The sequence below is a fragment of the Homo sapiens genome, chromosome 2, assembly GCF_000001405.40.
Source record: "Homo sapiens chromosome 2, GRCh38.p14 Primary Assembly".
Classification (NCBI taxonomy): Eukaryota; Metazoa; Chordata; class Mammalia; order Primates; family Hominidae; genus Homo; species Homo sapiens.
The window spans coordinates 109,958,181-109,971,207 of NC_000002.12; the positions used below are offsets into that span (position 1 = coordinate 109,958,181).

Consider the following 13,027-nt stretch of genomic DNA (forward strand, 5'->3'; position numbering starts at 1 on the left):
TTTTTGCAATCTAGCCATCTGACAAAGAGCTAATGTCCAGAATCTACAAATAACTTAAACAAATTTACAAGAAAAAATCAAACAACCCCATCAAAAAGTGGGCAAAGGATATGAACAGACACTTCTCAAAAGAAGACATTTATGCAACCAACAGACACATGAAAAAATGCTCATCATCACTGGTCGTCAGAAAAATGCAAATCCAAACCACAGTGAGATTCCATCTCACACCAGTTAGAATGGCAATCATTAAAAAGTCAGGAAACAACAGGTGCTGGAGAGGATGGGGAGAATAGGAATGCTTTTACACTGTTGGTGGGAGTGTAAATTAGTTCTACCATTGTGGAAGACAGTGTGGCGATTCCTCAAGGATCTAGAACTAGAAATACCATTTGACCCAGCAATCCCATTACTGGGTATATACCCAAAGGATTATAAATCATGCTACTATAAGGACACATGCACACATATGTTTATTGTGGCACTATTCACAATAGCAAAGACTTGGAACCAACCCAAATGTCCATCAGTGATAGACTGGATTAAGAAAATGTGGCACAAATGCACAATGGAATACTATGCAGCCATAAAAAAGGATGAGTTCATGTCCTTTGTAGGGACATGGATGAAGCTGGAAACCATCATTCTGAGCAAACTATCGCAAGGACAGAGCACCAAACACCATATGTTCTCACTCATAGGTGGGAGTTGAACAATGAGAACACTTGGACACAAGACGGAGAACGTCACACACTGGGGCCTGTCATGGGTTGGGGGGATGGGGGAGGGATAGCATTAGGAGAAATACCTAATGTAAATGACGAGTTAATGAGTGCAGCAAAACAACATGGCACATGTATACATGTGTAACCTGCACGTTGTGCACATGTACCCTAGAACTTAATAATAATAATTAAAGATTAATCCTGGGTTCTACCTCCCAGAGGTTCTGATGCAGTTGGGGTCTGCATGTGACCTGGACTTCAGTAGGATCTTTAAAAGTTGTTAAGATGATTGTCATATGCTGTGGGGATTGAGAATCACCACTCCCACAGTTGCCAATGCCTCCCATAGTTGGGATGCTGTTTTGAGGTTTGCAGCCACATTTAAGCTGCATCTGGGGAAACATCTGCTATTTGGTCTTTGCTATTTTCATGGTAGATATGGACAGTGGTTCGCATGTAAACTTGAAAAGTATGTGAAGTTGTGGAATGGGGTGTCTAACATAATCCACATTCTTGGGTTGGGTAAAAACAGTTTGTTTTATGGGAAAATACAAATGGCCTTAGTTCAAATAAACATGCTTATTACAGTAAAGTCTGTCTTCTAAGAGTACCGCTTCCCACACGGAACGCAGGACACTTAGAAGTTGCGCACAAATGGGAGGGAGGAGGAGAAGGAAGGCAATTAGAACCAAAGCATAAAGGAGATGCGATTTTAAAAGGAGATAGATGTCAGAAATGTAATACCAGTTAAGAATGGGAAAGCTTTGAAACGTTAGTGTAAGGGTGAAATGGCTATTATGATAGAATCAGCAGATTTTAAAACAGCAAGGATGAGTTCAGATGGCAGTTGGTGGGGGTGATGAGGTGCTGGTCATTCAATGTCTGGGGTCTGGGATCTGTCTCATGGAGATGACCCCGAGGGCCTGACTGGCTGAGGCATTGCTGGTGAGTGTTTTTTTCCTTTCTCTACCTGGAGGGCATATGAAGGATGCATCTCAAATCCGTGAGTGTTGAACTGCTTATGTTTGTGGACAAATGGCCTCACTGGGACTGTAAGGATGTTTGTAGCATCACTGGGGACAACAGTGGCCTTAAAAGATCTTTGCCAGCAATTTTTTTAAAAAGCCTCAATGTCAGAACTCTTCAAGTATGATCTTTTTGAGGCTTAATGGAATTTTCTTAAAGTTGGTGTGTGTTCATTAAAAAAAAAAAATCAACTCTTGCTGATGCGAGGCATTTTCTACCTAAAATATATTTCTAAGCATGTCCTGGGAACTGTATTCTTCCTCAGTGTTAAAGATTTTCAATGAAAAAAATAATTGATATTAATGGTTTTCCTACTAGAATGTTTTTTAAATATGTAAAAGAAAAATGTTTGGCTGGGCATTGTGGGTCACGCCTGTAATCTCAGCACTTTGGGAGGCCGAGGTAGGCGGATCACTTGAGGTTAGGAGTTTGAGACCAGCCTGGCCAACATGGTGAAACACTGTCTCTACTAAAATTAGAGAAACTAGACTGGCATGGTGGTGCGTGCCTGTAATCCCAGCTACTCAGGAGGCTGAGGCAGGAGAATCGCTTGAAACCGGGAGGCAGAGTTTGCAGTGAGCCGAGATTGTGCCACTGCACTCCAGCCTGTGTGACAAAGTGAAACTCTATCTCGAAAAGGAAAAAAAAAAGAAAAATGTGTGATAAGTGTTAAACACATTTACATGGTGCTTCTTAGATTTTAATAAACTGCCTGTAAGAATTGCCATACCAACCCTGAGCATACCTGTTACTCAAAAAGCGATCGGCTCTTACGGCAGTTAATTCATCTATGAGATTATTGTTCTACATCAACTTTTTTAATCCAAGTATTTGTCTTTCATTTTGGGCATTTTAACAGCTTTTTTAGATTATAATAGACATACACTAAACTACATTTATTTGAAGTATGCAGCTTGATGAGTTTTGGTGTATGAATGCCCTTGGGATAGTAATGCCATGATAAGAATAATGAACATATCAGTCACCCCTATATGTTTTCTTATGCCTGTTTGTAATCTCTCTCTCTCTCAGTTCTCTTCGTTCCACTCTTTTTTTTTTTTTTTTTTTTTTTTGAGACGGAATCTCTCTCTGTCGCCCAGGCTAGAGTGCAATGGCACAATCTCGGCTCGCTGCAACCTCCGCCTCCCGAGTTCAAGCTATTCTCCTGCCTCAGCCTCTCAAGTAGCTGGGATTACAGGTGCATGGCACCATGCCCGGCTAGTTTTTGTATTTTTAATAGAGACGGGGTTTCGTCTTGTTGGCCAGGCTAGTTTCAAACTCCCGACCTCAAGTGATCTGCCCACCTCAGCCTCCCAAAGTGCTGGGATTATAGGCATGAGCCACCATGCCCAGCCTGTTCCCATCTTCCTCCCCCTGCCAACACACGACCACTGATGTGGGTTCTGTCACTGTAGGTTAGTTTTCATTTTCCAGAATTTTATGCAGATGGAATCATACAGTGAGTACTCTTTTCGGGGGGTGGTTGGCTTCTTTCACTCGGCACAGTTATTTTGAGATTCATCCATTTTGTTACATCTATTAGTTACTCATTCCTTTTTATTGCTGAGTAGTATTCCATTGTAGAGATACAGTACACTTTGTTTATCCACTCACCTGTCTGTGGACATTTTGGTTTCTAGTTTTGGGCTGTTAAGCTGGGATGAACGTATGTGTATGTGTGCAGCTTTGGGATGAGGTGTCTCACATGAGCCACATACTTGGGGTGGATGTACTAGTCTTTGTGTGGACATATGCTGTCTTTCCTTTTGGAAAACACTTCAAAGTAGCATGGCTGGGTCATACTTTTTAACGTTTTAAGAAACTACCAAACTGTCTTCCAAAGTAAATGTGCCATTTTCTATTCCAACCAGCAACGTATGAGAGTTCCAGTTGCTCCACATCTTTGGCAAAACTTGCAAATATAAAAGGAATTTTGTGTTTTGTGTTTATATGTATATAAATATATTAGGTAGTGTAAATACACATAGTATATAATTTTGTGTTACAGATTTGTTTGTATGTATATGTATATATACAGTAATGCGTCACTTAACAACAGGGATATATTCTGAGAAATGGATCACTAGGGGATTTCATCATTGTGCAAATATCATACAATGTACTTACACAAACTTAAATGGCATAACTTACTAGACACCTAGGCTGTAGACTATTTTTCTAGGCTACAAACCTGTAGAGCATATTACTGTACTGAATATGGCAGGTAACTGTAACACAATGGTGTATTCGTGTATCTCAACATAGAAAAGGTACAGTAAAAATATGGTATAAAAGGTAAAAGATGAATAGGGCACTTCCCATGAATGGAGCCTGCGGGACTGGCAGTTGTCCTGGGTAAGTCAGTGAATGAGTGGTGAGTAAATGTGAAGGTCTAGGAATCACTGCACACTACTGTAGACTTTAGAAACACTGTACAGTTGACTACATTTATAAAAAATATTTTTCTTTCTTCAATAACAAATTAACCTTAGCTTACTATAAATTTTCTACTCTATAAACGTTTTGATTCTTTTGCAATAGCAGCTTAAAACACATTGCATAGCTATACTAAATATTTTCTTTCTTTATATCCTTATCCTATAAGCTTTTTTCTATTTTTAAACTTAAAAAATGTTAACTTCATAAACTCTTTATTAAAAACTAAGACACAAACGTATGCATTGGCCTAGGCCTACACAGGGTCAGGACCCTCAATATCACTGTCTTCCACTTCTGCATCTCATCCCACTGGAAGGTCTTCAGGGGCCATAACACTTATGGAGCTGTCACCTCCTGGAATAACAATGCCTTCTTCTGGAATCCTCCTGAAGGACTTGCCTGAGGCTGTTTTACAGTTAACTTTTTTTTTTAATAAGTAGGAGTGCAATCTAAAATAACCATAAAAAGTATAGTGTAGTAAATACATAAACCAGTAACATAATCATTTATTATCATTATCAAATATTATGTACCATACATAATTGTATGTGCTAGAATTTTATACGACTGGCCGTGGAGGTTTGTTGACACCAGCATCACCACAATTTTGTATTTTGTTGTGCTATGACCTCACTAGGTGGTAGGAATTTTTCAGCTCATTATAATCTTATGGGAACCCTGTTATATATGTGGTTCATTGTTGACCAGAATGTTATGGGGCACATGACCGTATATATATTTGTATATACATGTGTACCTAACCATATATTAATATATGTATGTATGAATATACCATTTAGGTACAAATACATGCTCTAGTCAATGCTTATTTACATTTCCTCTGAGAGCCTATATTTGAATTCAAGAAAGTGGAGTGTGTCTGGACCTGGTCCCACTGCAGGATTCTCGGTGCTCAAAGAGACATTGGAGGTGTGGAGACAACACTGTTTAGATGTTGGCTACCTCTGGGAGAGTGGGTCTGTGGAGAGGCGAAGGGGAGCTTCCTTTTATACTCAGTGCATACTTAACAAAGGAAAAAGAAAAGTATCCTCTCCTCCTCTGACTTGGTCTCCCTTACTCTGTCTCAATGGGGAACAGGACCTTCTCCTGGCAGCTGCCTATGTTTTGGATGCCCAGTACAACAGAAATGTTCCATTTGAAACTCACCTCAGGCCATCAGGTAACTAACATGTTAAACCATCATGTAGAACCACCTGTCCTTCAGCACTTGATACTCTTGAACTTGAACCCAAACTGAAGGCATTGTTTACACAGATATTTTGAGAAGTATATAGGGTACAGCACATAGATTTGGACGTAATCCAATACTTTTTTTTTTTTTTTTGAGACAGGGTCTTGCTTTGTTGCCTGGGCTGGAGTTCAGTGGTGTGATCATGGCTCACTGCAGCCTTGAACTCCTGGGCTCAAGTGATCCTCCCACCAAGGCCTGGGATTAGATATGTGAGCCACCATGCCTGGCTGAATTTTTTTTTTTTTTTTGAGTTATAAGAGCATGGGCCTCACACGCAGGGAAGCATTCAATAAATAGATTAAGATCAGACAAATGAGTAAAATGAGCAATACCCAGCATAGAAGCTAGGGCATTCAAGGGAAGAACTTGCCATTGTCTTTTCCTTTTATGTCATCCTCTTAGAGTTACCTCAAGTGAAAAGGCTTTTTTGTCCTGTCCATTGTTTTGTGATGCAATCCATATGTTTGCTCTTCTCATGGGAATTCAGCTTTTTCTCTGTCACCCCCTACAGGTGCTCAGCCTGTTTATCACTAGGGCTCAGCCTCAGGGCCTCCCAAGGCAGCCAATACCTCATCCCTGGATGTTGCCGAGCATGTTTGGGGTACTGTCCCCACCTGGGGAGAGACTGGCATGACCTTTTGCCAGATCTCTTCTGAGTCTATCATGTTAAGATGGGATGATGTACATTTTAAAATTGGGTTAGGCCACCATGCCACATCATAATGGGCCACTTTAACTGAGGGTTTAATCTGTGTCCGTCACTGTTCAAGTCCTCTGCAAGTATTCTCTTATTACTATCACAACAACCCCATGGGAAGGTATAATCTTAGCTTGAGACTGTTAAGAAAATGTGCTTTGAGTTATGATCATATGCTTGATTTTTTTGTGTTAGTGTTTATAGTATATGATCATTAAATACTGCCTCCTGCTCCCTAGAATTTAAAGGAAACATGACTAAGCCTTAACTTTCTTATTTTACCCAGCATTAGTTCTTTAAAGAGATGTTTGGGTGCTGTGTAGCTCCTGTTCGTTGTTTATAATCACTTTTGTCTTTTTCTCCTCCAGACGTTACTATTTTTATAACCACTAGACAACGCAGGTTGCCGCATACTTCTTTATTTGTGTAGACCTCGCTCTTGCCCTGTTTGAAGAGCCTGAGTTGCTTCCCCTGCCTTTCTTGGTAAGCAAGCCATAGCAGATGGCTAGCCAGATTTGGTCATAGATGATTGGGCCTTGTGCCTCTTCTTTTTTTCCCCTCAAATTTCAACAAATATGAATTAGATGTTATTTATTTTTTTTGCTGGGGGATTAGAGAAGTTCTGTCTACTCACCAAACACATGCTTCCTTCATAACGCATTTTAAGTGCAGTGGGAGATTTTGGTCTTCTGTGCACACACACACAAAATCAGAGATGGTTCAATGATGTTTTCAAAGCCAATTTACTTACTGCCAAGTAGATGATGTTCTCATATAGTGTAATATGCAACTTGTACATGCCACATTTTCAGCTTTTTTTCATAGTCATAAATTATTAGAGTATTTATTGGTGCTTAGGGGCTGATCACATTTGATTTTGAGTAATGTATCAAATTCACCAGCCAATCCAGAGAGGTCTAAATAGTAGACCAGTGCCCTGCCCATGTTGATTTCTGATTCGTCATTACTCTTACCTCTGTCTTAATAGCTGTCATTTGCTCCCTGCTTGCTATCTGCTGGGTGATCTCAATGCTTTCTCTGTATTCTCCTTAAGCCTTACAGGGACTCAATGGGATGTGCCTGCTGTTATTATACCCATTTTAACAGATAAGGAAGCTGAGCCTAGAAAGATTGTATAACTTGTCCAAGGTTACTAGGCAACAAAGGCAGAACTAGGCTTCAAGCCTAAGCCTGATTTCAAAGCTTTTGCTTTTTAACAACCACACAGACCCTTTTTTATTCTTCCTTATTTCAGTTATCAATTGCACAAACATATTTACAAACCATCCTAAAACTCAAACACTTAAAACAAGGGTTGGGAAACCATGGCCTGTGGGACAAATTCAGCTGCTGCTTATTTTTGTACAGCCTATGAGCTAAGAATGGTGCTACAAATGGAATGTTTGTGTGTTCCCAAAATTCGTATTTCAAAACCTAGTCCCAGTGTGGAGGTATTTGGAGGTGATCAGATCATGAGGGCAGAGCCCATCTCATGAATGGGATTAGTCCCCTCATAAAAGATGCTTCAAGGAGCTCCCTTGCCCCTTCTGTCAAGTGAGAACGCCACAAAAAAAATGGCTGTCTGTGAACCAGAAAGTGGGCCCTCATCAGACACCAAATTTGACAGTGCTTTGATCTTGGACTTCCCAGCCTCCAGAGCTGTGAGAAATAAATTTCTGTTGTTTATGAGCCACCCAGTCTATGGTATTCTTTTATAGCAGCCTGATCAGACTAAGACAAATAGTTTTTACATTTTAAAATGACTAGGAAAAAGGACACTGAAGATTAATATTTTGTGACACATGGAAGTGATATGAAATACAAATTTTGCTGTCTGCAAATAATGTTTTATGGGAACATAGCCACACTTATTAATTTATGTGTTGTCTTTGGCTGCTTTGGAGCTACATCAACAGTTTAGTGGTTGTGACAGAGACTGTAAGACTTGCAAAGCTTCACATGTTTACTTTAACAGAAAGAGTTCACTAACCCCTAGCTTTAGAGAACAACAGCCTTTTATTATCTCCCATGACTCTGTGGGACATTGGCTCAGGTGGTGTGGCTGGGGTGGTAGATGTCTGGAAGCTCTTAGATCTCTGGAGGCTGGAACATCAAGGTAGCTCTCTCACGTGGCTGGCAGGAGCTGCTGGCTGTAGCTGTGGCCCCGGCCCTCTTCTATGTAGCTGCTCCACGTGGCTTAGGCTTTTCCCAGTGGGTGGCTGGGTCCAGGAAGGAGCATCCCAGTGTGCTGCACCATCAAACCTCTGCTTGCATCATACTTGCTGATGTCCTGTTGTCAATCACATGCCAAAACCTGAGTCAACTTGGGAGGCCACTGCAAAGGGGGTGAAAACTGTAAGTATGGCTCACTGGGGCTGCCCAAGTGACATCCACCAACTGTCTTACAATAAAGATCCGGCAATTAATGAATTCTCTGGATAGAAGACTTTTATCCCAATAACAGTCAACACAAACACAAAATCTGAAGAAACAGAGCTGTGCATTCACAAACCTGGACAGAGTGTTGTCTATCCCTCCTTAGCACTGGTCCACTCTGGCCAAGGTAGGAATCCCACAGAGTGGTCTTCTTAGCCATTTGCCTCTTTTCCTGAGTCCTCATCCCCTGTCTGTTATTGGTCATGTATAACTTTGGGTTGGCTGCCTGAGTTTCAGAGTGTTCCTTCAGCCAGCCCTTGTACTGTAAATCTCCAAAGTCCAGTGTGTTCTGAGGGCTTTGGCCCCCATCCAGCATTACCACGCAAGTCTTGTTTTAAGCAAGGATGTCCTGAAATTGCCTAAGGCCCTTTTGCAAAGCTGGACTTGACATTGGGTCTCTATAGCTCTTCAAGAGTCAACAGACTGAGAGCTAGAACATTTGCAAGGGGCTGCAGCCCAGTCTGTGCACAGACCCATGAGGGCTGGAACTAGGGGGCAATGATAGTGTCCCCTGCTGCTTTCAGGCCCACAGCCAGCCCCTTCCTCCTGTCTCTAGCTCTCACTCAAGACTTTTCCCTCTTTTTAGCCTAAGTCAAGTTGTCCCTTTCTCCATCTCTTCCTATCTTCCACCTGTCTCTCCCTATTGATGGAGGAACGTGCCCTTGTTAGGAAGTTGTTACTGCATCCCAACAGCCTCAGGCAAACCTTGGGCTGCAGTCATGGGCTTCAAGTCTAGCAGGTACAGGAGTCTGGAGTTGGCACCCGTAATCTACAGAGGGAGGCCCATCAGGACTTCGGTCTTGATCTCAGTGGGCTCCATCCTCGTCTCTAACCAGCCTCATATAGGCAGCAGGGCTGCAGTGGCAGTGATGTTTATGGAAGGACCCATTATTCCCAAACACATCTTTGGGGAATTACCTTACCGTTAGAGAAATGGGACTTCTAGGTGTCTGGAATTTGAACATGGGGAATTTGAGAGCATAGACGATCTCTGCCTCTGACCTCCCCCTTTTCTGGGGAAATGTGTTCTTGGTCCTCAGCCTGCTGGTGCAGCCCCTCCCAGGAATCCCTGCCAGTGTGGGTCATGGAGATTGTGACTCAGTGGCAGATTTCCCTTTCAGAGGAAGAAGCCATTCTAACCGGCAGAAAATGTTGCTGCAATTTTCAGTAAAATTAAGGGACATGGCAAATTCTCAGAGGGTGCCAGGCAGGAAAGGTAGGGTAGTGGCAGGGGACAGGGGGTGGTACTGGATAACTAAAGCTGAGCCTCCCCATGGCAAGCCCTCGTGCTCAGCCTCTGTTTTCTCCTTGCAGGCCACCTCAATAGCAGAAGTACTCTGCCTGACTGCATACTTTGGCAGACTGGTACATTTTGCAAAAGTCACTCCTCAAATGGTTTTCTGGAAGGATACAAAAGACATCTGCACCATGGTAACCACAGTGGCGAGTGTTCATTGTAGTACCTGTAAGAGTTTATGACCGAAGGCAGGAGCCATGAAGAAAAAAGACTCAATAGATTTGCTTTTGATGAAACAACAACACTTCCATACAGTGAACGCCATAAGCACAACTGCAAGCAAACCGCAAACTGAAGAACAAATAGGGCAAAATGTGGCAGTGCAGACATTTCAGCATATCAAGAGCACTTCCAAATTACAGGAAAAAAAAGATATCTCAATAGATAATTTTGCTGAAGATAAGTGAAGGCAACTCATAAGGAAAAAATATGTAAAATGGCCGATAGGAAAGATGTTTAACGTCACTAATTAAAAATTATAGAATAAAACGACAATAAAATACCATGTGTTTGCCTATAAAACAATCTTAGCAAGATTGAAAACAAACTTTTTGTAATTTCAATTTTTAGTTTAGATTCAGGTGGTACATGTGCAGGTTTGTTACATGGGTATATTTCGTGATGGTGAGGTTTGGGGTACAACTGATCCCATCACTCAGGTAGTGAGCCTAGAATCCAGCAGGTAGTTTTTCAACCCTTCCCCTCCTCTGTCCCTTCCCCTCAGGAATCCCCAGTGTCTACTGTTGCCATCTTTGTGTCCATGAGTACCCAGTGTTTAGCTCCTACTTATAAGTGACAACATGCAGTATTTGGTTTTCTGTTCTCTGTTAATTCACTTAGGATGATGGCCTCTGGCTGCATCCATACTACTGCAAAGGACATAATTTCATTCTTTTTAAATGACTGCATAGTATTCCATGGTGTATATGTACCACATTTTCTTTGCCTAACCCACCATTGATGAGCACCCAAGTTGCTTCCATGTCTTTGCCATAAAACAAATGTTCTTACACCCTACAGGAGAGAGGAATAAAACTGTCTTTCTGGAAGGCTCTTTGGCAGCTCCTTTCAAAAGCCTTGAAGGTGAATATATTTTAACCCTGGACTTCCATTCCTGGGAATTTATCTGTAGGAAAGAAGGATGCATTCAGAGATTTAGCCACAAAATTGGTGGTGGCTGACGGTTTATAATATTGAAAAATTGGAAACAACCTGATTTCCAGACAAAAATTATAAGACATATGTCTTAAGTAGAATGTGATATATTCATGCAGCCTCCTGTGCTGTCCTCTCACTCCTTTGCTCCATCTGTTATTTGAAAGGCCCTGGGAATGAGACCTGCCTTTTTAGCCTGGCCTGCAAAGCCACCTTCCATAGGTCCTTATCACTTTCTGCTGCTTCCCTTTGCCGCCACTCCCAGGACCCTCTGCTTCCCAACATGCCAGCCCAGTACTTCCTCAAGAGTCCTTTTATTCTATCTTCTTGTCTAGCTCTTGACCTTCCTGAGTTTTTATTAAAGCTCTGCTGTGCTGTAGGTTACATCAAAGAGTGCCTCCTCCATGAAGCCCGTCAAATATCTTAACCCTTGGTGATCCACCTGTCCTCGCTCCCCTGGGACAGCCACACTGGTTTCCTCCAGTGCGGCAGTTGTGAACCAGCCTCATTTCTTAGCTGTTTCCCCCGCCTGTGGGCGGCAAGCCACTCAGGTGCCAAGGCAAGAGACTGAAGGCAAAAACTGTTCCAGTATAATAAAGAAAATATACAGAATAAGAATAGTTATACTAGAAATAGATTATAGATATGATTATATATGAATATCATTAATCATTAGTTTGTTAACATTACTCTTTATTCCAATATTATAATAATCTTTGTTCTACAATTATAACTTAGGAAAAGCCAGGCCATACAGAGATAGGAGCTGAAGGGACACGGTGAGAAGTGACTGGAAGACAAGAGCGTGAGCCCTCTGTTACGCCTGGAAAAGGCCACTAGAGGGCTCCCTAGTCTAGCGGTAACGCCAGCACCTGGGAAGACGCCCCTTACGTAGCGGACCTCGGTCTAGCGGTAGCGTCAGTGCCAATGGAAGGCACTATGGAGTCTCCCTTTCCTTGGGGGAGTTAGAGAAGACTGCTGTACCACCTCTTGTGGAAGGCCTGACACCAGTCAGCCCCGCCCACAGCCATCTGGAGCCCGGAACGTCTCCCTGTGATGCTGTGCTTCAGCGGTCACGCTCCTGGTCCACTTTCATGTTCCACCCTGTACACCTGGCTCTGCTTTCTAGATAGCAGTAGCAGAATTAGTGAAAGTACTAAAAGTCTTTGAAATGCATAGAAGAAATAATGGCATAAGCTGTCCTCTCTCTCTGCCTTACTGCCAAACAGGGAGGGCCCCCTGTCCGGTGGACACGTGACTCATGTGACCTTATCAATCATTGGAGATCACTCACACTCCTTACCCTGCCCCTTTTGCCTTGTGTCCAGTAAATACCAACACAGCCAGGTATTTGGGGCCACTATAGGTCTCCGCGTCTAGGTGGTAGTGGTCTCCCGGGCCCAGCTGTCTTTTCTTCTCTTTGTCTTGTGTCTTTATTTCTACGATCTCTCATCTCTGCACACGAGGAGAAAAATCCACAGACCGTGTAGGGCTGGACCCTACACCCGTCCCGTGCGGCGTGCCCTTTGAGGGGAAGGAGCTCACTAGATCCTCTGTGCCTTACCACCAAAGGGGCTAAATTCAAGTTTTTTTGATGATGGTACATTGTTCTTTTCTACTTATATTTTTCTAAAATACACTAGGTTCTTCTTTTGGCCATCTTCACCTTAATCTCTTGCCCATAAACCTGACATTAATAAAGATTAATAGGGGTTGTCTGTATTCTAGATATTCTCATCTCTGTTACTAGGCTACACCTCCTTTCTTTTACATGTCAAATTGAAGAGGTCAATAGGGTGTAGTGTGGAAGGATGTCCCAGTGTGATTAATAGCAAGGGCTGAGCCCTCAGACTGTCTGGGTTCCAGTCCCAGCTCTGCCCTGGATAGCTGTGTGATCAGGGGCTACATGCTTACCCTCTCTGTGCCTCAAGCTCCTCCTCCAGGAATAGTGCCCACCTAATTGGTGTGGTGAGTCTAAAATCATCTACAAGAGGTGCTTG

At 42.5% G+C, this 13,027-nt stretch overlaps 1 long non-coding RNA gene and 1 pseudogene across 3 annotated transcripts in view; both read left to right on the top strand.

The window, feature by feature from the left end:
• LIMS3-LOC440895 (LIMS3-LOC440895 readthrough) overlaps window positions 1-10,394 on the top strand; it is a 70,143-nt gene extending 59,749 nt beyond the window's left edge. The window contains exons 16-18 of the long non-coding RNA NR_027145.2: window positions 5,289-5,370; window positions 6,508-6,622; window positions 9,890-10,394. This is a non-coding gene — a long non-coding RNA (LIMS3-LOC440895 readthrough). The remainder of the gene's footprint in view (window positions 1-5,288; window positions 5,371-6,507; window positions 6,623-9,889) is intronic.
• Window positions 1-10,394, top strand: part of LOC440895 (two pore channel 3 pseudogene) — a 20,885-nt pseudogene extending 10,491 nt beyond the window's left edge. Inside the window, exons 2-4 of one of the 2 annotated variants that reach the window (NR_027143.3) lie at window positions 5,289-5,370; window positions 6,508-6,622; window positions 9,890-10,394. The product of NR_027143.3 is annotated as a two pore channel 3 pseudogene, transcript variant 1 (transcript). The remainder of the gene's footprint in view (window positions 1-5,288; window positions 5,371-6,507; window positions 6,623-9,889) is intronic. The other variant, NR_027142.1, reaches the window with a different exon arrangement.
• Window positions 10,395-13,027: the final 2,633 nt, after the last annotated feature.